Source organism: Homo sapiens, chromosome X (assembly GCF_000001405.40).
Source record: "Homo sapiens chromosome X, GRCh38.p14 Primary Assembly".
Taxonomy (NCBI): Eukaryota; Metazoa; Chordata; class Mammalia; order Primates; family Hominidae; genus Homo; species Homo sapiens.
Window position 1 is genome coordinate 18,756,033 of NC_000023.11, and position 26,193 is coordinate 18,782,225.

At 41.3% G+C, this 26,193-nt stretch overlaps 1 protein-coding gene across 19 annotated transcripts in view; it reads left to right on the forward strand.

Annotated features, from left to right (window-relative positions):
* The window catches only part of PPEF1 (protein phosphatase with EF-hand domain 1), a 152,851-nt gene that overhangs the window by 80,966 nt on the left and 45,692 nt on the right, over nt 1-26,193 (forward strand). For 18 of the 19 annotated variants that reach the window (XM_047442194.1, NM_001377986.2, XM_047442195.1 and 15 more), the window contains 3 exons: nt 1,595-1,709; nt 5,498-5,544; nt 22,978-23,144. In XM_047442194.1, coding sequence (XP_047298150.1) covers nt 1,595-1,709; nt 5,498-5,544; nt 22,978-23,144 — 329 coding nt within the window. The remainder of the gene's footprint in view (nt 1-1,594; nt 1,710-5,497; nt 5,545-22,977; nt 23,145-26,193) is intronic. The other variant, NM_001378382.1, reaches the window with a different exon arrangement.

Consider the following 26,193-nt stretch of genomic DNA (forward strand, 5'->3'; position numbering starts at 1 on the left):
ACGATACTTTTAACAGTGGCTGTTTCTAGGGGTAGGGATTAGGGGAATAAGATCTAGGGGAGACGGAAAATGACTTTTCATTATTTTACCCATTTCTACTATTTAAAATTTTATTTCAACTAAAAAAATGACGTGTTTCTCCATTTTAATACTACTTTTTTTTTTGAGATAGAGTCTCGCTCTGTTGCCCAGGCTGGAGTGCAATGGCGCAATCTTGGCTCACTGCAACCTCCGCCTCCCGGGTTCAAGTGATTCTCCTGCCTCAGCCTCCTGAGTAGCTGGGACTACAGGCGCGCCCCACCATGCCTGGCTAATTTTTATATTTTTAACAGAGATGGGGTTTCACCATGTTAGCCAGGCTGGTCTCGAACTTCTGACCTCAAGTGATCTGCCCACCTCGGCCTTCCAAAGTGCTAGGATTACAGGTGTGAGCCACTGTGCCCGGCCCTAAAACTACTTTTTTAAAAAGAAATATTCTTTAAAGGTAGTATTTTCCTCTAACTTAAAAGAATGTGACTATTTTATTCAAGTGGTTATTTAACCTGAATATATTTATAAATGGAGAAACTGCCATCTGAGTTAATCATCTTGAGCATTTAATATTGCAGTTGTAAATATAATTCTAATGCTATGGAAAGATAGCCTTATAGGCAAGGACTAGTATGACCAAAATGATTTTAGTCAATCCAAAGACCCAGAGAAATTATTTTCATAATAATTTTCTGTTGTTGCAATATATTCTCAGTGAATATTTGTTAATTTAGCTTTTATAAAAAAGAAAACTTCCCCTTTAGACAACAGTTACTCTGATAAGTACTACCAATGGACCAGAAAAACTACAATGATAAGCTAAGGTAACACTGAAGCCAGTGTTGGGAATCAATAGATTACATGTGGCTGGGGGTGGTGGCTCACACCTATAATCCCAACACTTTGGGAGGCTGAGGCAGGAGGATCATTTGAGACCAGGAGTTCGAGACCAGCCTGGGCAACCTAATGAGACCCTATCTCTTCCCCACCACAAAAAAGGAAAGAGCTTGAAAATCCAGTGTGAATTTTTCACTTACAGCACATTTCAATTCAGATTAGCTCCATTTCACATGCTCAGTAGCTCCATGTGGCTAGTGGCTGCCATATTGGACAGCATAGGTCCAATATGGCAATAGGTCTAAATAGTTTTGACCTATTAAAATATGTTAAATTTGTGTGGTAGTCACATCTCTGCTGTATTATATTTTGGAGTATGTATTTATAATTTTTTTTCATTCTCCCTCTCCTTTTTCTTTTTCTCTTTTATTATTACAATTGGCTTTTTGTCTGCACGTTTCCCTAGGGCAAGGGCGTGCCTCCCTTCACTTCTCTTGGGCTCTAAGGACCTGGGATGATGATTCATTTTCTCAGTTACACACGTCGACTGAGGGCTTATTATATGCCAGACACTGGGCTAGAATGATCTATTTCAGAATAATTGAAAGGTTATCCTGAAATACAGCGACCTGAAACGTGCGTGCTTGCTCCACCTTTACAGTTTTCTATACAGTCATGTCTTTCTTCCTTGTTCATTACATCTATTTCCTCTGCTTCCCGCTCACAGATACTTCATGCCCATTATGTCTTAGAGGTGCTATTTGAAACCAAGAAAGTCCTGAAGCAAATGCCGAATTTCACTCACATACAAACTTCTCCCTCCAAAGAGGTAACAATCTGTGGTAAGTTTCAGAGCAGAGTTGTCCAATTAATATTTAGGAGCCTCTTGGTCCTACATCGTTTGCCTAACTTGAAAACTGTGTAAATTGGACTGTGTTAAGGGAAAAATGTTAATATAGAATTATCTATCATGATAATACTGTTCCCCATCTTGTCTTTGTTTTGCATACCAGCTGGCAGGAATTAATTATGTGAGAAATTAAAGAGCTCATAGCTTTTTATAAAGGCAGACAGCATTTTAATATGGAAAAACCACCCATGGGTGGAATAAGCATTCTTTGCCCTCCGTCTAGCTCTCATTATCTTTGTTCCACGTTGCTTTTTCTAGGTGGGCCTCTGCATGCCACTTGTGCTGGGAAGAGAAAAGCCCGTGGCGGGGTGAAGATTAAATTCTTCTCTGCCCTTGGCTGCTGTTTTAGATTTTTCCAACTGGTCTGTGCAGCTTTTAGAAGAGTGGGAATGTCCCAGAAATCTGTTTCTTGTTCTTTTAAATAACAAGATTTGAGATTTTGCTATCATATAGGCCAGCCTGGCAGGATATTGCTTCAAGAAACAGTACACATTGAAATTCCTCACAGTTGGTGCTCAGCATGCTTGCAACCGTTTGACAGTGGGGTGCGTGGAAGGAACAGCAATTCCCTTAACTTCTAATTAAGCCTTTAGGTTACAAAACAGTGATTGTTATTTTCCAAATCAGTTTTTAGCCTGCATTTCTCTTATTCTGGCAGGTAGAAGTGAATTTGACAATCTAATTAAACTATTTGCATTTCTAGCGTCTGATAGTGGTGGCAGGGACTTGATGTAGCAGTGCCTACCTCATCACATGCCCTGACTCAGGTTTTTGAAGAGTCTCTAATGGTTCATTTCCAGCCTCATCAGGCATCACGTCTCTGACTGGCAGATGATTCATCTCAGCAGTGGGGGTCTTTTATTCAAGGCCTCACCTGGCCTTTTCATGGAAAATAGAGACTTCGGGTCATGAGGCTCAGAAAGCCATGCCACCCTGTGAAGTCTGTGAGGCCAGGGCTAGGTGTGCTCTTAGGATATATAGAATAGCCCAAACTGAGAATGGGATCCGCTCCCCTGTGTTTCACTGGGAGCCACTACAGACTCATCCTTGCTAAAAGGATCTGGAAGAAGACACACGTTAATTACAGGGCAGGGCAGTCCTAGAATCCCACAGTGTGAGAACTGAAGGGTTCTCTAGTCTATTCCTTGCTCTTATGGGTGAAATTGAAGCTCAGAGAGAAAAGTGGCAGGATCAGAATTAAAATCAGGTCTTCTGTATCCCAGGTTAGAGGCAGCCCCACATCTGCCATCCTGACTCGCATTAGGTACCTGGTGGTTCATTGTCCATCGTGAGACAAAGATTAGGGCGTGACTTAACTGGACATCTCCATTGGTTAAAGATTTCCACATCTTGGCACTTATTTCTAGACTTTTTCACGTGGCACCATTGGTAGGGGGAAAAGACAAGGCCAGTGGGTTTTCTTAACATGGGAATATTATTATTTTCTATTTTTAACAGCTCATTGAACTTCAAAAATTTCATGATTATTTATAATAAAATTTAAAATTGGGGCCATAACTTCAAAACCATCTTCCGTTTAAGACGGTGTTAGGAAAGGGGGAGAGATTGTGATGAAAATTTGCTATTATTTTAATTGTGAGATGCATTTTTTTACATGTACATCTAAATATGCCCCGTAGTTTTCAGCATGCATGAAATATAAGAGGATTTTTAGTCTACAGTTATATTATAAATGATAACCAATTCTGCACTCATGTTTTTGTTGGCAGTGGAAATATCTTTCTGTCCTTCTTCCCATGGTACGAGTTTTTCTTTCGCTGTCCAACTAGAAGTTAAAAATATTAAACTAAGTAAAGAGTCCTCCCATCTTTATGTCCTTAGATTTAGAGTGAGACCATATGAAAGCAATGAGATTTAAGCACACAATGATACTAATATGCTAATAATATTATAGTAGTATTTTATAAATAAGTGCTGGTGATATAGAATTTCTATTTTATTATTTCCAGTATATTTGGAGTCTTCTATTGCATGTATTTGGTTAATCTTGGTTGTGGGATTTTAAGCAAACTGAGGGAAAAGTATTCGTAAATTAAATTGTATAGTAATTAAGTTGGATACAAAGAATAAAAATTTATGAGCAGAACTTATGAAAGATATTTTACCTAGAAATAGTTATCCAAATGGGGCTTTTGGATATTCACATAGTCACTCATTATTATTGCTATTTTTTGAGACAGAGTCTCGCTCTGTCACCCAGGCTGGAGTGCAGTGGAGTGATCTCAGCTCACTGCAACCTCTGCCTCCCGGGGCTCCAGCGATTCTCCTGCCTCAGCCTCCTGAGTAGCTGGGATTACAGGTGCACGCCACGACACCTGGCTAATTTTTGTATTTTTAGTAGAGACAGGGTCTTACCATGTTGGCCAGGCTGGCCTTGAACTCCTGGCCTCAAGTGATCCACCTGCCTCGGCCTCCCAAAGTGCTGAGATTACAGGCATGAGCCACCGTGCCTGGCCTTATTTTTTAATTAATGGCTTCAGATACTCATGATCTCCCCTAGTTGGCTTTCATTTTTTTTCTATGTCTCATCAAAGAATGTCAACTACCTACTCACAAAGTTTAAATTTCAGATGCTGCTACTGGAGTATATTAAAAACACGGCTTTAAAAAGCTATATACTTAGCCAAGAAATGTATTTACTGAGTGCCTCTTATCCACTGGGTCCTATGGTAGGCACTTGGGGATTCAATGCTGACTACAATAGATACTGTTGCTGCTCTCCTAGGGATTACAGTGTGGGTGTACAGAATAATCGCTAAGAGCCTGAGGGGTTTTTTGTTTTTCGTTTTATTTTTGAGACAGGGTCTCACTTTGTCACCCAGGCTGGAGTGTGGTGGCATGATCACAGCTCACTGCAGCCTCGACTTCCCAGGGTCAAGCAATCTTCCCACCTCAGTCAGCCTCCTGAGTAGCTAGGATCACAGGTGCGCACCACCAAACCTGGCAATTTTTTTTTTTTTTTTTTTTGAGATGGAGTCTTGCTCTGTCACCCAGGCTGGAGTGCAGTGGTGCAATCTCAGCTCACTGCAACCTCCACCTCCCGGGTTCAAGCGATTCTTATGCTTCAGCCCCCACAAGTAGCTGGGATTACAGGCGTGTGCCACCATGCACAGCTAATTTTTGTATTTTTAGTAGAGACGGGGTTTCGCCGTGTTGACCAGGCTGGTCTTGAACTCCTGGGCCCAAATGATCCATCTGCCTTGGCCTCCCAAAGTGCTGGGGTAACAGGTGTGAGCCATCACACCCAGCCAAGCTTGAGTTTTGAAGTGAGTTAAAGTTGGGTTTGAATTCTTGCTCTGATACTTGATGGCTGGGTATCTTTGCATAACTTACTTAACTACTGTGAGCCTCATTTGTAAGATGAGAATGATGAAGATAAAACCCATCTCATAGAGTGGTTGTAAGGACTGAACTAGATAATTCATGTAAAACCCTTAGCACAGTGCTTGGCCCAGAGTGATCGAAGCCCTGTGCAAATGACTGGACTGAAAAGGTAATTGAAGCACTAGATGCTGTCCCCACTATAGGAGAGGAAGAGAAGAGTGCTGTGGAGACAAATTGCCTGTCAAATTAACATCGTCATAGGATAAAAACCCAATGCCCTGAGAACACTTGGAGTGGATCAGCAGTATTTCACTTTTAAAAATGGGCATTGCATCTTGTTCTCTACTGAATACTGATTTTTCATTTGCACTGCAGGTGATTTGCATGGGAAACTGGATGATCTTTTTTTGATCTTCTACAAGGTAAATGATGATTTTGCTAAATATTAACATTTTTCTTGGGGGAGGGCAGTCTTAGGGCAGATAACAATATTAGTTTTACTAGAGATATGTACTAATACAGATATAATGTTACTGTTTTTAACCAGGAGGCTCAAAGATTTGTAGAGCCATATCTTTTTTTTTTTTAACACACATCTCATAAATTTTTAAAAAATTGTACTTTGGGTCTTCATTCTACATTATTGTTGTCTGTGTATCCATTAGGATTTGTACCGGATTGTATTTATTGTCTTTATCGCATCATAAATGTCTAGATGGTACAGGATGGGGAGGGATGCAGTCTGTTTTATTTTAATTTTGTTCAGGGATGAGCATGTCACATACCAGTCTTCTCTTCCAGTGCACACTAATTATGCATGAGTGGAGTTGCTTATGATAAGGAATAAGTTCCAGCATGCTCTCTTTTCTCCCCTGATTCGCCATCCATGGGCTCAGTTGTTCTTCCAATGCTGTGCCTCCTCTTCATTTATTGCATTTGGCTTGTGAGAGCCAGCACAGAGGGCACAAGACTGCTTGGCCAGCATGGATTTTCTCTGCATCTCTTTGATTGGATTTTTTTCTGTCTCTGGGCCAAGAGTTACAGCCTGAATGTTTGCTTCAGGGATGGCTGACTGCATATGGAAAACTGATCTTGAGATCCCTGCCTTCACAGCGGTTACCCCTTTACACTGGTCTTCTGAATGTCTCTTTTTGATTAATGCATTTATTGTTCATCTACTCCTGTGACCCCCACAACTAGCATGTCAAATAATTGGGCGTAGCGTAGGTATCTCAGATGGGTGGAAAGAAAATATATTCTGATTATTATTGTTACCAGAAAGGGGTCCCGATCCAGACCCCAAGAAAGGATTCTTGGATCTCGCACAAGAAAGAATTCAGGGTGAGTCCATAGACTAAAGTGAAAGCAAGTTTATTAAGAAAGTAAAAGAATAAAAGAATGGCTACTCCATAGACAGAGCATCCCCAAGGGCTGCTGGTTGCCCATTTTTATGGTTATTTCTTGATGATATGCTAAACAAGGGGTGGACTATTCATGCCTCCCCTTTTTAGACCACATAGGGTAACTTCCTGAGGTTGCCATGGCATTTGTAAGCTGTCATGATGCTGATGGGAGTATAGCCGTGAGAATGACCAGAGGTCACTCTTGTTGCCATCTCGGTTTTGGTGGGTTTTAGCTGGCTTCTTTACTGCAACTGTTTTATTAGGTTGGTGCAAAAGTAATTGCGGTTTCTGCGTGCTCTGGTTCAAACACCTCTAACATTATTGTTCCTGGACCAAACTGAGGGTTGGGCTGCTATTTCTCATGGCCCAATAACGAGATACAGATGAACTGGGAAGGAAGAGAGTTTTTATTTCTGTAAGTGGCTCCAGGGAGAAGGCCTGGAAATTATCACCAGACCAACTCAAAATTAGAAAGTTTTCCAGAGCTTATATACCTTCTAAGCTATATGTCTACGTGTAAGTGTGCACTCATCTAAAGACGTAAGTGATTAACTTCTTTTCATCTATAACTAAGGTCTGAGTCCTGAAGACCTTCCTCTGGAGCCTCAGTAAATTTACTTAATCTAAATCGGTCCAGGTGCTGGGGTGATTACCCTTATCTTGTCTCCTGCTAAATCATGGAGGTTTGCAGAGTTCCTTCAGACCCCCAATCAACTTGTTTGTGGAGGCCTGGGGAGTTTCTTCACATCCCCAGTAAAACTTGTTTAATCCTAAATAGGTCCTGTTAAGAATTCCTTCGTTATCTTGCCATGCTTTAACGCCCAGGAAAGGCCTAGACAAAACTCTTGGTGGGCTTTTGTTACATTCCAGCCTTTGTATAGGGCACTGGCTCTTTGAGCTTTTAATATTTAACTGAACCACTCAGTCAGTACTGAGACAGTTGTTATGGAGGCCTGCGTTAGTGAGACCTGGCCTGCCACATTTTGATGACCAATCAGTTCCACTCTTTGAGGCTGTGAGAGCTTGAGTAAGCCATACAACCTCCATGAACTGCAATTTTTTTTTTCAGCTGCAATATTATCTTGAGCTTCCACCCCATAAGAGGTTGTATTCTGGATAAAATAAGTATCCAAAAGCATTTTTAAAATAATAAATTATAATAGAAACACAAGGTTTTCACTTCATGCATTAGATTAGCAGCTTGGAAGGGAAGAGGACAGGCCAAACCAGGAGTGGGTAGAGCCAGCACCTAGGAAGAGGTTCCGTTGAGACTTCAGCAGGCCCAAGCCAGGACGTAGAGTGTGACTGTCAGAGAGTGTCAGGAGGTGTCCCAAGTAGCAGATTGGTGTAGGAAGTCCAGGCGAAGGTTTGCTGGCAGGGAGCCGAGGGGGCTGGTGAAAGAGCAATTCTGGACATCAGCCACAGAATCTAAGCTGGGTAGGGAAGGAAGAGAAGCCAGGATGGGCCAGTCAACTGGGAGAAGTAGGAGGGTAGTAGGACTGGAATGCTGACCGACTGTGTCAGGGAGCAGGCTGACTGCAGTGAGGGCCTTAGGAGGTAGGATGGTGGGAAGTGCAGGGGGAGCAGTCCCAGGGCAAGGGATGCCCTGGGGTGGAGCCTAGAACATGGGCAGCCCAAGCCATCGAAAGAGAGTATTGGCGATGAGGTGGGCAAGGACCTGGAAAGCAGGTGTGTTCAACAGTGGGGGGCACCACGTGGACCCAGATGAGGAGCAGGGGAAGGAAGTTTAGTCAGAGGTCATGGGCCTGAAAGGAGGGTGGTGGGGTGTTTCTCTGTGAGCAGCCCTGGGGGCAAGCAGAGCCTCCCCTGCTCCTGGGCCTGAGGTGGGTGTCCTGGGGATGGGTGGGTCCTTTCCTTCAGAAGGGCTGCAGGAGTCAGGAGTGCTGCTGTGCTCTGGAGGAAGCCCAGGCCTATGGAGGAGAGAAGCCTTTCTGAATAAGTTGAAGGTGGAAGGGGCTTCATTGACCATGAAATGGAGATTCTACTGGCCCCACTGGAGTGCCATGGGAAAGGTGGAAGGATGGACAGGGGATGGGATTTATTTAATTTGGGACGTAGCTCCACACCAAATGTTCAGAAGTGCGGTCCGGCTATTGTTGACAATTACAATGTGAGGAAGGAGGAGGGGGCAGGGCATGTGGAGAACAACAACAAACCTGGTCATTCTTTATCTAGAGTCTTGAGAAATATATAAAAGGGCAAATAGTTGAGTAAATTAAATCGGGAACGTAGTCACTAAATTCCAAGGCATTTAGAAAAGAAAATTTCTTTATTTCGTATGAAAGTGCGATAAGGGATAGGACTCTGGAGTAGACAGATGAGAAAAGAGAATTCTAACATATTTCTTTAATTCTGTCTGCAAAACTATATGGAACATATAAAACTGGAAGGTGCTAATGTAAAGATTGAACAGGAGGAGGTGGGTGGTAAGAAGTACTATAAAAGGAACTAAAGGTGAAAATATAGCATTCAAATGCAAGCAAGATATATTTGGAGAGCTAACCAATGACAGTGCTAAGGAAATGGAGATTGCTAGCCCAGTGATGAAAGACTAGGGCACTATTATATTTAGGATGGATTTGGGTAGAGAGGTGAGAGGGATGTCTGGAAAACAGAAGTGTGCAAGAGCCATGGATTAGAATTCTGGCAGGCGTGAGTGAGAAGAAGGTAAAATGCATCTTGGACATGGAGTGAACCACATACACCAGAATCTCGAAACTGCCTGGTTTAAGTGGGGAAACCGAGGGAAGAGCCATTGATGACAGCAAGTTTCCACTTTAAGAAACTGAAAAGAGATCTAGTGTACAACACGAGGACTATAGGTAATAAAATTGTACCATATATGGGATTCATGCCAAATGAGTAGATTTTAGCTGCTATTGCCACAAAAAAACAAAAATTGGATAACTATGTCAGATGATGGATACTTTAATTTGCTTCACTATAGTAACCTTTTTACTATATGTATGTATTCTGTAACATCATGATATATTATACCTTGAATGTACATGGTAAAATTTATTTTTTAAAAAAGAAGAAAATAGCAACAATGATAAAGCAATGGGGAAAATAGCTGATCAATAATATCATTAGTATTTTCAACAGCGGTACAGCAGAAAACCCGGAAACTATATTATTATTTTAAAGGAATTTATAATAAGTGAATAAATACATTACTTTCATTTATCTAGAAAAAGGAAAAAGGCCGGGCACAGTGGCTCATGCCTGCAATCCTAGCACTTCAGGAGGCTGAGGTGGACGGATCACTTGAGGTCAGGAGTTCGAGACCAGCCTGGTCAACATGATGAAACCCCTGTCTCTAATAAAAATACAAAAATTAGCCAGATGTGGTGGTGCGTGCCTGTAGTCCCAGCTACTCAGGAGGCCGAGGCAGGAGAATCGCTTGAACCCGGGAGGTGGAGGTTGCAATGAGCCAAGATCGCACCATTGCACTTCAGCCTGGGGGACAAGAGCAAAACTCTGTCTCAAAAAAAAAAAAAAAAAAAGAAAAAAGAAAAAAGAAAAAAAGAAGCTGGAAAGGTAGTGTACTTAATGGTGTCTCAGACGGGAGAATGACACGTAGAGCTTGGGGGTGATGGTGCTTGGTCGCTTAGCTTATAGCAAAAGAATGTCCTAAGTTAAAAGCAGGGAAATGAAAGGCTGGGACACAGAGATATCTGAGGAAGCCCCGACCATCTGATGATCTCTGATTTACCAAAGTCAGGATTTTGCCCTTTTCTGTCTTATTTATTTTTGTCTGCAGTTTAACTGGAGAATGATGATAGTTTGCATGGATGTACTGTGGCCTAAAAGCATGAATACAGGCTGTTCTGGAAACAGTGTTTCTATATAAATATAAATGACAGTGATACCCCACCTATCCCAATGTCAAACTTCAGCCTACTTTACTTACCTTCACTTACCACTCATATGTCCCAAACCCAGAATTAAGTAAAAAGGGTCTCTGAACGCTTGAAATTGTTGACACAAATCCAATGAACCCTACTCACAGGACAGGCCTTAGGCCTCTTACTCAAAGACCCATGAACCAGTATCAGTAAAACCTTCTCTCACGCAAGGTTCACATGAGTTTGCCTGTCTGGCTACCCACCCCACAGCAGATTAGGGAGTGGGAGGTGAAGATGGAAAAGTCAGACATAATGACAGCAATGAAAATTAAAACGTTCTGGCTGGGCACGGTGGCTCACGCCTGTAATCCCAGCACTTTGAGAGGCTGAGGCGGGTGGATCACCTGAGGTCAAGAGTTCGAGACCAGCCCAACCAACATGGTGGAACCCCATTCTCTACTAAATACAAAAAAAAATTAGCTTCGCATGGTGGTGCATGCCTGTAATCCCAGCTACCTGGGAGGCTGAGGCAGGAGAGTTACTTGAACCCGAGAGGCAGAGGTTGCAGTGAGCCAAGATTGTGCCATTGCACTGCACCCTGGGCGACAAGAGCAAAACTCTGTCTCAGAAAAAAAAAGAAAAGAAAAGAAAATTAAAAGACAGAACTATAAAAATGAGATAAAAACTGAAATACTAATACTCAGCGATCTGGAGCTGTGGAGTGTAGGGAAGAGAGTTCTTGCCTTGTCAGAAGTGCCTGAGGGGATGTTTAGACTGATGAGCCTGCAAGGCCAAGAGAGTTTCAAGTTATAAGGTGTATACTCTTAAGAAGTAAAGGGGACCAGGCGCGTGGCTCATGCCTCTAATCCCAGCACTTTGGGAGGCCGAGGCAGGTGGATCATGAGGTCAGGAGTTCAAGAGCAGCCTGGCCAATATGGTGAAACCCTGTCCCTACTAAAAATACAAAAATTAGCTGGGCGTGGTGGCACACACCCGTAGTCCCAGCTACTCAGGAGGCTGAGGCAGAAGAATTGCTTGAACCCGGGATGCAGAGGTTGCAGTGAGCCGAGATCGTGCCACTGCACTCCAGCCTGGGCAACAGAGCGAGACTCCATCTGAAAAAAATAAGAAGAAGTAAAGGGAGCAAATGGCACATTTTAAAAACTTCCAGCCAAAATGGTTAAAGTAATTTTTAAAGGCATTTTAGCTTTCAAAGGAATAAGCTTCAGTGATCTGGAAAATCCATTTAAGCAATGCTTATAGTATGAATGAGGATATTGGGTCTTAGGAATAGGAGGATGAGAGAGCATGAAGAAAGAGAAAGCTTAGTTAGGAGAAGAGCACTGGGCCATAAAAATAGATAAGGAAGAAAGGAAGAAGCACATCTCAAAGGAAGAGAGTGGTGAGGGGGTTGGGGGGTGATGGATTTCTCTTGGTAGCATCACACACGAAGGTTGCCTGCTCAGATTACAGGAGGTGCATAACTATGACCTAAGCAATCACTTGATTGCTTCGGGAAATGGTAGAATTTCTGTGATGGTCTTTGTTTCTCACTGTAATGCTTTGTACTAATCAATTTGTCAACAACTGATTGAATCCCAATTATATGTCATACCTGACTCTGGTTCACTGATAGAAGCTACAATTGAGTCACATCAGTGTAACCACAGGCTCCTAATCTTTTGTTTAGAAGTAGTTAGTGGCCGTGCTTTCACTTACTTTTATTTTATTATTGTTTTTAAGAGCAATAGATCTTGAATTGTGGGGAATAGTTTGGCAAACTACATCCTGTTGGAGATTTTTGGAGCTATAAGTGACCAAAGTTTATGTTATACTATGACTAACTGATTCTCTCCATCACTCACAAGAGTAAGTAGGAAAACCTCAGGCTTTGAATTAAGACAAAATTTTAATTCATCTCAATTGGTGGTTTGCTAGACACTTTCTTCCTCATCAGTTCTTTTATACAGCATAGCATGAATAGGCTCCAAGGCTGGGGCTGGCCCAAAGCCAACTAAGGGCACAGCCTGAGAGACTGTTCTAATGTAGGGTCACTGAGAGGCCTCACCATATTACTCTTTTCATCCAAGTGGTTGGTTTGGTTCAAGACTTCTATCATTATAACTCACCATATGCAAAAGTGAATCTGTCTACTAATGCATTCATTCAGTAAACTTTTATCTGGTCCCTGTAATGTTCAAGGTATCATATAAACACTAAAGGACCATACAAAGTTGATTTAACATATATTTATGAAACACCTATTATGAATGAGGCACTCTACTAAGGGTTGGCAATACAGTATGACTAAAACACAGTTGTTGGCCCCAAAGACATCACAGTTTAGTGGGGAAGGTTGGCTGATAAAAAGACAAGATAGTTCAGGGTTGGACATGTTATGATTGGGATCAGCATGGAGTCCTAAAAGAACCCACTGGCAGAGCACCTAACCTTATGGAAGACTTCCTGGAAGAGAAGACATTTCTGACGATCTCTTCAAAGAATTTTAGTAATTTAGTAAGTGCCTAAATCATGAAGGGAAGTTTTGGAGGATCATGAAAGATTTTATTCTCAGACACTTTTTGTGGTGCCCTACAATAAATGATGGGATTTGTAGCAATTATTGTTCTTCATTGATTGTTTTGAGATTTTGGTTTCTTTAATATTTGGTTGTCCTTAAAAATTGTATCAGCTAGCACCTTAATACTAAGGGAAACATTTTCAGCTCAGAATCGCATCTGGGTTTGAAAAGGACTCTTCCCCACTGGGTACCATACTCTTAACAACAGACCTTTGCTAAAAGGGCATCTCAACTTTACATGGCTTCAAATATAATCTTATCATCAAGTGAAGTAATTTACATATCATTAGTTAGGTCATATTTTTAGATTTTATTTTCTGAAAAGATTAATTTTAATCAGCCCTGTTGCTTAATTAGAGTGACCAGTTTGAAATACTTCTTTCAGAGCCTCAGCTTTAGTAAAATTACAAGACATTTTTCCCTCATTGAATAGAAAGCTAGAAATTTTAGATCAATATCACCAAATTAGTTTGTTAAATTGATGCCATGAGTGGTGACCTCCTATCGCTGAAAAAGAGATGCATGTGAACAGAGAGATGCTAATGAACTCTTAACCCTGTGGGTACCATCCTGATGCTATCCAGTGGAAGCCCTACTGCCTTGTTTTCCTTTTTTTTCTCTCTTCCCCACCATCCTCCACCCACTACACCCATAATTTTCCAGCTGTCAAGGTAGTCAAACATTTTCTTTATTTTCTATCACTGAAATGCTTCACACTGCCACAGTGGCCAATTTTATTTTCCTTTTGAGGTGAAGGTAGTATGTTACAATCAGAACAGACCTCTGAAATAGGGTTTGCAGAAGAAGAAAATTAACGTGGAGTTGACCAGAGCTTATTGTTTGATGTGCCTTCAGGAAATGTCCAAATTCACTGGGATAATTTCCAGATGTCTGTTGTAAAATGCTTCCATAGGAAATAGGCGAGACTGTGGGAAACATCTGGTTTTTGTCTCTGTTTAAGTTAATTAATTATGGTCTGCTATTTTTCCCCCTACAGGTCATCTGAGTGCAGTTCAGAGTTGTAGCTACTCTGGACTTTCTGTATCTGTCAACTTAATCACCATGTCATAGACGGTTTGTTGCATATTAGCTGCAGAATGAGCCAGAGGGTTTCGTTTACTGGAACTGGGTGAAGCATGTTTTATGGCATGAGGTTTTGCTTCTTTGAAGGAAACCTGGAGAAATGTCAGTAGCCGGAATCCTAAATATCCTAGACACTCACACCCCAGTAGACTAGTTCCTCATCATCCTGTGTGCTTTTTAGTTCCCTTATTACTCTAAGACTAAAGTGGATTCAAACCCAAACTATATAAAGTAATACGACTAATCCTGGAACAACAGGGCAGTTCTTACACATCCAAATGAGTCTTGCCCTCTTTGATGCGGTTGTCTTGAGGGGCTTAACACTGAAAGGAGTTCAGTATACATTCAGGACTCCTTTTAGAATCACTTTCAGAGATAGTGACATACTCTCTTGAATGAGCTTTATTATCACAAGTCTTAATCTCTTGAAGACATGTGAGATTCTTGAAGAAAATCTTGAAGATTTTCTGAAAAGGTTAAGGCTTATTGAGTGTCAAGTGTGTTGCATAAGGTGGATGGATTAGTTGACCATTACTATTTGGGGCTTAAAATGAGGTTTAACTGAAGACATTCATTACTCTTTGCTCATAGTAGAGGTGAAATAAGACATCACAGAGGTAGCAAAGAATTTACCCACAACAAATTCTGGTTTAATTCGAGATAAGAAGTTTTAATACAAGAAAATCTGTCATCGCAATAGAAAGTGTGTTTACCATTCAAACATAATAAATATAATTTTAGACTATTGGATGCTTTCCTCAAATTTTGAAATTAAGGTTATACTGGTTTCATAAAATGAGTTGGAGAGATTTTCATCTTTTTCTCTTACTTATAATAATTTGAATCCCTGGGTTGCAAACTCAAACTTGGCTATACACTGCAGTCACCCAGGTGATTCTAATGTGCAGTCAAGGTTGGGCACCATGGGTTTAAGTCACATTAAAACTATTTGCTCATGAAAATTAAAATAGAGTTCTGCTAGAAAGCCACATGGGGCCAGTGCACTGTTCATGTTTTCCTCTTCTTTTGAATCAGTTTTGCTAGGAAATGGATGATTTTCAAGGAAATCATAAAATTGGTTCAAAGAAAGAACCAATAAAATTTGGGTTTATATAAACCCAAATTATCCTTTTTATTTCTTTTCTATTTCCTTAGTTTCAGCTCTTCTCCTTATTTGATGGGTTTTATTGTTTTTCTAATTTCCTAAGATGAATGCCATCTTTCGTGAACATCTTTAATAATGAAGGCATTTAAGGCTACACATCTTTTCTGATTTTAGTGTTAACTAGGCCTTCTATTGCACTTGTAATTTTGCTTTTAATTTTCTCTTTGATATAATACTTATTAAGATGATAATTTTTAATTTCCAAGAATCTTAATTCAAGGAGCCAGACTTTTTTTCTAATCACATTTTTATGAGACTGTATCCTGTGACATTTTTCTTATTTTGAATTTCTTAAGAGTTCTTTGAAGTCAAGTACGAGACTGATTCTCATAAAAGTTCCGTGGACATATAAAAAATTAATTACAGTGTTGAGCCTTGAGCAATGCTGGGGTTAGGGGTACCAATTCCCCATACAGTTGAAAATCCACATATAATTTTGACTCCCCCAAAACTTAACAACTAATAGCCTACTGTTGACTGGAAGCCTTAGCAATAACATAAACAGTTGATGAGCACATATTTTGTATGTTATATAATTATAAGCTAGAGAAAAAAATATATTATTAAGAAAATCTTAGGCCAGGTGTAGTAGCTCATGCCTGTAATCCTAGCACCTTGGGAGGTTGAGGTGGGTGGATCACTTGAGGCCAGGAGATCGAGACCAGCCTGGCCAACATGGCGAAACCCCGTTTCTACTAAAAGTACAAAAATTAGCCAGGCCTGGTGGCACAGGCCTGTAATCCCAGCTACACTACAGAGGCTGAGGCAGGGATTCGCTTGAGAATCTACAGATAATCTACAGAGAATCGCTTGAGCCTGGGAGGCAGAGGTTGCAGTGAGCCGAGATTGCATCACTGCACTCCAATGTAGGCGACAGGGCAAGACTCTCTCTCTCAAATATATATATTAAAGAAGAGAAAATATATTTACTACTCAACTCATTAAGTGGAAGTGGATCATCACCAAGGTTTTTATCTTCATGTTGAGTAGGCTGAGGAGGAGGAAGAGGCGGGATTGGTCTTGCTGTCTAGGGGTGGCAGAGGGAGAAGAGCCACATATAAGTGGACCCATGCAGTTCAAAGCTGTGTTGTTTAAGGGTCAGCTGTATTCTCTTATTTGTAATACACAAAGTTCTTCATATATTAAATCAAGTTTATTGGTTGTATATTCAATTTTCCCATATTTTTTCTATTATATATGTTAATCATTTTTTTTGTTGCGTCTCTGCCAGGGTTTGGTATCAGGATGATGCTGGCCTCATAAAATGAGTTAGGGAGGATTCCCTCTTTTTCTATTGATTGGAATAGTTTCAGAAGGAATGGTACCAGCTCCTCTTTGTACCTCTGGTAGAATTTGGCTGTGAATGTTGCTGTGCAACAAATTACCTCAATACTTAATGACTTAACACTATAAACATTTAGTATCTCACAGTTTCTGTGGGTCAGAAATTTGGGTCAAGCTTAGCTGGATGGATTCTGGCTCAGGATCTCTCATGAGGTAGCAGTCAAACTATTGGCCAGGGCTGCAGTCATCTGAAAAGTTGATTGGGGCTGAGGGACCCATTTCCAAGATGGTTCATTCATGTGGCTGTAGACACAGCATTTCAATTCCTCACTGACTGTTGGCAGAACAGCCACATGGGCTTCTCCACAAGGCTGCCTGATTCTTCTTGTGACAGAGCAGCTGGCTTTCCCCAAAGTGAGTGATCCAAGAAAGAAAGCATGCAGGAAGCTGCAGTGTCTTTTATGACTTAGTCTCCAAAGTTGTACATCATCACTTTTGCTTTTTTTTCTCTTCATGAGAAGCAAGTCAGTAAGTCTTGCTTCTGCTCAAGGGGAGGCAAATTAGGCTTCACCTTGTAAACAGAGTGCCAAAGAATTTATGGACATTATTTTAAAGCAGTAATTCAATCTGAATAACACACTGTGTATTTTTAAACAATTTCTTCTTGCATTTAGTAGTTAAATGTATGAAGCAAAAATGTGTTCTTTTATTGACTATAAGTTCATGAGTTGTATTTTTTTCATAAAGTGCCTTTTATTATGACATAATGTTGCTTTGTGATCCTGTTTAGTACTTTAATCTTAAACTCTACTTTGCCCGGTATTAATATTTCCATTCTTGCTTTCTTTTTGTTGCATCTACCTCATATTCAACCTTCTCTTACCTTCTTTTTAATGTATATTTCTCATGAACACTATATATCTGGGTTTTGTATTTTAACACAGCCTGGTAATCTTGGTATTTTAATGAGAGAATTTAATCCATTCACACTTAGTATAACAACAGATATATTTGAAATTTTTTCTTCTACTTTGCTATTTCACTTTGTTTCACCCTTTTCCTTTTCTTTTTGCTGTTTTGGTAAAGTTTTATTTTTTATTGTTTTATTTGGAATTTTTACTCTGCTTTTCCATTCACTAGTGGTTACCTTCCCACTTCTGACATTTCTGGTAAATAATGTATATGTGTGTATTTCTCAAATAGCTATAACTTTATTCTTCCACTGCAGTCCTCTCTCTCTCTCTCAATAAGATAACTGTTTACACACTCCATGTCTCCCATTCAGTTAAGATTTCTAGAGCATTTTATTTTTCTCTTCTCACCTCCCCTGTAAATCCTAGCTATTGCTCATACCATAGTTTTAGTTCCTGACCATTATTAGGTTTTCCTTCCTAGCATGTCTCTTCTACTTCTGGAATCTTTGCTTAATACTTAAATGCAAGTTTCATATTGTCATATTGATTTATATATAATTATATATTTCATGATTCATTGTTCACATCTGTATTCTCTCCTCTTGATCTTTCCCTGACTTGAGGACTTTTATTTTTTATTTTTATTTTTTTTTGAGACGGAGTTTCACTCTTGTTGCCCAGGCTGGAGTGCAATGGCATGATCTTGGCTTACTGCAACCTCCACCTCCCGGGTTCAAGCGATTCTCCTGCCTCAGCCTCCTAAGTAGCTGGGATTACAGGCATGCGCCACCACACCTGGCTAATTTTGTATTTTTAGTAGAAACAGGGTTTCTCCATGTTGGTCAGGCTGGTCTCGAACTCCCAACCTCAGGTGATCCGCCCACCTCGGCCTCCCAAAGTGCTGGGATTATAGGTGTGGGCCACGGCGCCCGGCCAGGGACTTTTAAATGTTAGTATGGTTATTTAGTTACAGTGTTTTGTTGAGTGTTTTCCTCAGTGGGGCATGTGGATGCTATCTTCTCTGAATGCAGGCTCCTCGAATACAGGGACTTTGTATTGTTTACTTCTGTGTTCCTAGCACCTAAAACTGTGCCTGGTACATAACAAGCAATTGATACATGTTTGCTGTTTTTGTGATGTTAAATACTACACATTTGCATGTCTGTCTTTCACCCTGAGCATTTATGTTGTTGGTGATAGTTGATCTCTTTACACATCTGCAAGTACTTTTCTATCACCCTGAGAACTTAATGTCTTGGCCACTGTAGAAATCTTGGTTCAAAGTCCTTTTTCCTCTTTAATTTGTAAATTTTATTCTACCGTCTCCTACCTCCCACTACTATAGATGAGAAGTCTGATGCTAGGCTGATTCTTTTCCTTTTGTAACTTGTTCTTTCTCTCTGGCCTCGTCTAATCTTTTTACCAGGTGGTAGGGATTTTGTCCCCATCAATTGTGTGTAGAAGTCGTGTTTCAAGCTTCAAATTGAAGTCTTTTTTTTAACCATAGAAAATGTTCTCTCATATTTTTGTAATTATTGCCTCTTCATCTGTTCCTTTTTCCTGATTTTGAAATGCTTATTATTGGCATATTAAGTCTCTTGGCTTTGAATGCTAGTCTCTTATTTATTCTTCCTGATTTTCATCATTTTGATTTTACTCAAAATGATGAGAGTAAGAGATTTTTCATCTGCTTGCTCTTTCAGGCCAATAATGTATTTTCCCAACCATTCTTTCTTCTAGTTACCTTTAACCCATTGCTTTTTTTTTTTTTTTTTTTTTTTTGAGACAGAGTCTCACTGTGTTGCCCAGGCTGGAGTGCCCTGGCACAATCTCAGCTCACTGCAACCTCTGCCTCCCAGGTTCAAGTGATTCTCCTGCCTCAGCTTCACCCTCCCGAGTAGCTGGGATTACAGGTGCGTGCCACCACGCCTGGCTAATTTTTTGTACTTTCAGTAGAGATGGGGTTTCACCATGTTGGCCAGGCTGGTCTTGAACTCCTGACCTCAAGTGATCCACCCACCTCAGCCTCCTGAAGTGTTGGGATTACAGGCATGAGCCACTGTGCCCGGCCAACCCATTGATATTTTAAGTTTGAATAGTATATTCTTAATGCCAAGAATTAATAAGTTTTTGTTCTTTCTTGTATGTTCTTCTTATTACTTTAAAAACAAACTAGTTCTCTGTTTCCTCCAGCAGTCCTGTTTTATTGGGGACCATCTGCTTTAGTAGATCTGATTGGTCTGTCTCTCTCTAGTTGCCGGATCCTCTTAGGTACTAGCTTATTTCCATTTTCTATTTTCTGCTTAAGCTAGGTTAAGCCTTTCCATAGTTGGAGGCACAACAGTTTCTACTCCTGCATCGAGTGTGAAAAAGAAGTCTCTGTGTTTCTAGGTACCCCTAAATGCAAGTGATCTGTTCTTTTCGTTTCAAGGATGTGGAAGACATCTTCCTACACTTTTTCTAGTAGGATCCAACATTTCAGCTCCCCCTGCCTCCAAACCAAGATCACACACATGCTGAGGCAGAGCCACCCCCTTAATCAAGTGTCCACCATCCCCTCAGGCCTAGTTCTTCCATGTTTTCACCCCAGGGCTCCCTGCCGCTGCTCCTCTAGCCCCCTTCAGACCTGGACATCCCAACAGAGTCTATAGCCTTCAACAGTCCTCAGGTTCCTCTAGCTTACTCACCCTAGACAGCTGAAGGCTGGTGGAAGAGTAACAGAGATCAGAGATGCAGAATCCTTCCCCCTTTCTTTGTGGTTGGTTGGTTGGTTGGTTGGTTGGTTGGTTGGTTTGTTTTAGACAGGGTCTCACTGTGTCACCCAGGCTGGAATACAGCAGTGTGATCTCAGCTCCACTGAGCCTCGACCTCCCAGGCCTCAGACAATCCTCCCACCTCAGCCTCCTGAGTAGCTGGGACTACAGGTGTGCACCATCACACCTGGCTGATTTTTTTGTACTTTTTGTAGAGAAGGGGTTTCGCCATGTTTCCAAATCTGATCTTGAACTCCTGGGCTCAAGCGATCCGTCCACCTCGGCTTCCCAAAGTGTTAGGATTACTGTTGTGAGCCATCGTGCCCAGACTTCTTTACGTTTTGATGAACGATAGCCTGTATTTTTGCAACTGGTTTACACTAAGCCCAGTGTGAATAAGCTTATATGAATTAATACATAAGAAAATATTGGGGCCATGCACAGTGGCTCATGCCTGTAATCACAACACTTTGGGAGGCTGAGGTAGGCGGATCACCTGAGGTTGGGAGTTCAAGACCAGCCTGACCAACATGATGAAACCACATCTCTACTTAAAATACAAAATTAGCCAGGCGTGGTGGCAGGTGCCTGTAATCCCAGCTACTCGGGAGGCTGAAGCAGGAGGATCACTTGAACCTGGGAGGCGGAGGTTGCGGTGAGCTGAGATCGCGCCATTGCACTCCAGCCTGGGCAACAAGAGCGAAACTCCATCTCAAAAAAAGAAAAAGAAAATATTGGAATCTTAGAATTAGAAATAACATGGTCATAATAAAATGAGTCTCTTAATTTGTATGTTGCTTTACCATTTTAATGCAATTTTATATACATGGTCTCATTTGAGTTCCAAAATAGCCGTGTGTGGTAAGTATGGAAGATATCATCCTCACTTGACAGATGAGAAAACTACAGCTCATAAAGGTTACATAACTTGCCCAAGGACACATGGGTAATGAATGGACCTGGACCAGAGAATTCACCTTCTTATCACACTATGCCATTGCTTGTTTATTTGTTTGTTTGAAATTGCCTTCAGAACATGTTACATTGTATAAATGTTTTCTAGAATCCCTAAATTATATGCTGTAACCTGTATTAAATTTTTTCAATTATTTCTATTATACTGATATGAGCAATTTAAAATGTATATACATAATAAGATACTGAGTTTAATAAGATTTTTAAATGTAGTCAGAAATCTAACAAAAGAGGAATTTGAAAATCATTTGAAAAAGATTAATATTTCTAGAATATGTGTATTATTTCCTGAAGGTAGCCATTTTGTTTTTCTTTTCTTTTCTTTTTTCTTTTCTTTTCTTTTTTTTTCCTCTTTTGAGACGGAGTCTTGCTGTGTCGCCCAGGCTGGAGTGCAGTGGTGCGATCTCCGCTCACTGCCAGCTCCGGCTCCCGGACTCACTCCATTCTCCTGCCTCAGCCTCCCGAGTAGCTGGGACTGCAGGCGCCTGCCATCACGCCCGGAGAATTTTTTTTTTTGTATATTTAGTGGAGACGGGGTTTCACCGTGTGTTAGCCAGGATGGTCTTTTCTTTCTTTTTTTTTTAGACATAGTCTTTCTCTGTTGCCCAGGCTGGAGTGCAGTGGTGCAATCCTGGTTCATTGCAACCTCTGCCTCCCGGGTTCAAGCAATTCTCCTGCCTCATCACCTGAGTAGCTGGGATTATAGGCGCACACCACCACGCCTGGCTAATTTTTGTATTTTTAGTAGAGATGGGGTTTCGTCACGTTGGCCAGGCTAGTCTCAAACTCCTGAACTCAAGTGATCTGCCCGCCTCATCCTCCCAAGGTGCTGGGATTAAAGGTATGAACCACCATGCCTGGCGAAGGTAACCTTTTTGAAGGAGGACATGCATTTTTATATATGAGTAGTTAAATTTGTCTCTGTGTAATATATTTTTAAAACATTTGAATTTGTCTTATTATGCAGTAGAAGCCATGCAGTAGGGAAATAGCCATCTCCCTATCAAACATGACATCGAGAAAATGTAGGCATGTTACATGTGTTTGTTTTGTCTTAGAGTTTTATAGTATAGTACTAAATGAATTAATAGCTATTTTAAAGACCAGGCCTTTGTTCTGATCTCTGCTGCTTTTCATGCTAACACTGTGTTTAAAAGTATTTTTTCATACTCAAGAGTGATATTAAAAATACTTAAAAACTGATATGGCCCGGTCAGTGATCACTGAGAATATACCCGGGCTCTGCACACCTGGTGTAGTTGCTCGCTGGCAGTACATCCGAGCTGCTCAGTCACATCACATAGCACTCTTCACTTGCCTGAGTACTTTCATTTCCATTCTCCCAGGTGATCTGGGGAGGGATGTAGTGCCATCCCCATTTTGCAAATTGGGGGAATCACAGCCCCAAGGAGCTGACCATAGGGCCCCTTAGAATAAAGGATTTCTGGCTCGTAGTTTGGTGGTCTTCCTTGGGTAGAAGTTTCCCTCTTTTCAGAAGAGAAGGAAGAGGTCAGAATAGCCATGTTTGATAGGACAAATATCAGCTCCTTTCAGAGGAAACTCATAGTAGGTGGTGGGTAGAATTAGCACCGTCCCATCCTCCCTGGAATCTTCCATTCCCAAGCAGATTTGTCACTTTCAGGGCCTTTGCAGGAGATGCCTGCCGTGGAAGAGTAAAACTGGCTCAAGCGAGAGAGCAGATTTTTCCCGGTGGAAGAACCTGACTCAGCCTCTTTTTTCCATATTAACAGGGATGTTATGTACACGGCCTGACTTTAAAAGTATATTCTTTTAATTCCTTGTTTTTTCCCTTCTCCTCCTTCCACAGAATGGTCTCCCCTCAGAGAGGAACCCGTATGTTTTTAATGGTGACTTTGTAGATCGAGGAAAGAATTCCATAGAGATCCTAATGATCCTGTGTGTGAGTTTTCTTGTCTACCCCAATGACCTGCACTTGAACAGAGGGAACCACGAAGATTTTATGATGAATCTGAGGTAACCCAGGCCTTTAGATTTTCTCTTTTAAAAGTTTCGCACTCTGGAAAATGCTGCCATATTTAATTCCTAATAGAGATAGAAGTGAGTGTATTGGAAGAGGGATGAGGGGGATCTCAAGGAGGACTTCAATTCTTACCCCTTTCACCACCCCCATTATTCTGCTGAGTATCAGTTGCCCTGAAACTCCCTTCCTATCTTTTCTTCCAGTTCTGTCCGTTCTTCTCCCTTCTATTATGTTCTTTCTCTTGCTCCCATGCCCGACCTTCACAGGCTAAATTGTGTGTTGGGTAGGTGTGTGAGGCCAGGTTTGGAGGTGTGGCAGGTTCTTCGAACAGATTTGGATGCAGTCGTTCTGTTGCTACTCTTGGCTTGCCTCAGATGTTGTCTCAGAAACTAGTTCCATGTTTTTCACCGATGCGTGTATTGTTTTATGACATGATAATTGCTTCTGGCATTGTTGCTCATAAACATATTTACGAACACAGCATTTCAACTATCTAACTCACCAGAAACTTGAGGAATAAAGATTGGTTAGATGGTTTAAGAATCTTTGCTGGAAGGCACAGTAGGTGACAAATGTTCCCTTTTCCCTTCTTTTTTTCTTCTTCTTTTAAAAAATCTCTTGTTTTATGAAAAACAGAAATCAGTTTGCTCTAGGACAGTGGAAGATATGGCATGTCTCATGCTTTTGGTCCTGGGCTTTTGGGTGCCTTGATCAAAGCTCAGCAACTGATTAGTTTTGTCTTTGGGGCAGTTTTGGCGCCTGGCTTGAGTACAGAGTTTCAATTCTAATTCTCAAGGTATGGAAGCAAATGCTAAAACTATGAAGGAAAAAAATCCCAGGACTATTATCAGAGGCCCATTATATATAATATAGCTTGATACTTTTATTTAGGCATGCTGTTTATCCTTATTGCCTATCGTATTTATCTAGTGTCTATAATGGTTAATGAAGGAGACGTGGCCCCTGCCCTCATAGAGCTTACATCTAGCAGGGAAGATGCGTGTTGAGCAGGTTTTTCAAGTGTGATGAGTTTGTAAAGGGGGAATCCAACCTTGTCTGAGGGATGATGGAAGGTTCCCCCATAGAAATATGGCTTTAGCCTGAGAGCTGAAGAATGAATTAGGCAATCAAGAAAGAGCCATAGAGGGGGATGGGAAACAGTGTTCCACAGTGAGGGGACAACTTATGCAGAGCTCAGGACAAGACTGTTTAGATGTGAAAGAAGTTCAGGAGGACAGGAGCATAGACTGAGGGACAGGGTGGTGCCTGATAGGGCTGGAGACATAAGAAATGATTGGATGGTTCAAAGGAATTTGGACGGACTTCCAAGAACAACACAATGTCACCGAATAATGTCATAAAATTTGTGTTTTAAAATGCAGTAGGAGGAGAGAGTTGGAGAGGGGCAAGAGTGAATACACGCTCGTCAATTAGGAAGTAGTTGAAGGTTAAAGGGATAGATAATGGGTTCTCATTTAGACTAGGGTAGTGGTGATAGAGATGCAAAGAAATAGATTCAAGAGGAGTTTAGGCAATGATGATTTAAGGCTCAGTAACTGGATATGGGAGAGCTGAAAGAGGAGGGAATCGGCCGGGCATGGTAGCTCGCGCCTGTAATCCCAGCACTTTGGGAGGCTGAGGCGGGTGGATCATGAGGTCAGGAGATTGAGACCATCCTGGCTAACACAGTGAAACCCCGTCTCTACTAAAAAATACAAAAAAATTAGCCGGGCATAGTGGCGGGCGCCTGTAGTCCCAGCTACTCGGGAGGCTGAGGCAGGAGAATGGCGTGAACCCGGGAGGCAGAGCTTGCAGTGAGCTGAGATAGCGCCACTGCACTCCAGCCTGGGCGACAGCGCAAGACTCTGTCTCAAAAACAAAAAAAAAGGGTGGGGGGAGGGAATCAAGGATGACCTCCAGATTCCCAGCTTGAGTTTGGGGGTACAGCGGCATCATTCACGATATTGGGAATGTGGAAAGAGGAGAGAGGTTGGGATGAGGGGGAATGATGAATTCAGTTTTGGGTAAGCTGATTTGAGGTACTATTGAGTAGGCAGTTGAGTGTACATACATGTCCAGAGATCAGAAATGAAGTGTGGCCTGGAACATCATCCTGTGGTATTAACACTAGATAAAAACTGAAAGCCCGGGCAGGGATGAGATTCCCAAAGGAGAAAGTGAGGGGAGAAGAGAGCCTAGGATGTAATCTGAAGGAACTACCACATTTAAGGTGAGGTAGAGGAGAGCTTGCAAAAGAGGCTCAGAAGAGCCAGGAGGAAAACCAAGAGAGTTTATGGTCACAGAATCCAAGGAAAGAAAAGTTTTCTAGAAGGATGGTAGAGTCAGCTGTATTTAGTGTTTCAGAGAGGGCGAGGAAGGTGAGGACTGCAAGGCATCTGTTGGATTAAATAGTATGGACACCTTTGGTGAGTACAGGATGGAATTCATCTCAGAAAACAGAACGTTACACTGTAGAAGCCTGATGTGACATGATTTCCATGGAAAGCCAGAGTGAGTGTATTGCATTTCATCTTCACAGTGTTGGATATTAAGGGCATGTACTGTTATCCTAAAGCAAGGAAAGGTAACAGAAATATTGTCATCATTGAATCTCCCTTCACTACTGCTATTCAGGCATTAAGGTTCCTGACACTTTCTATTAAAACCCTCAATACCATTATGGGACCTGTATCAGAGAGAGCATAACAAGCCAACTTGTTACCTGCTAGGTAACAAGTTGTTCAGTCTTTTCTTTGTTCAGTCTTTTCTTTTTTCCAATCATTTACTGTATAGGATGTCTGAGAAATTCTATCTAAATGAAAAGTCTTCTCTCACACAGCTTCCCCCAGCTACCACAGCATGCTTCTCTGCATACTTGTAGCGTTTACAAAACCTGTGCCTACCACATATTTCTTAAGTTGTCTTATAATTGTTTCATAGAAATCTATCTTCTTTCCCCAGCTATACTATAAGCTCCTTGAGGGTAGGGATGATGTCGTTGGTTGCTTTTATGCTTTCCAATCATGCCTAGCAAGGACTCAG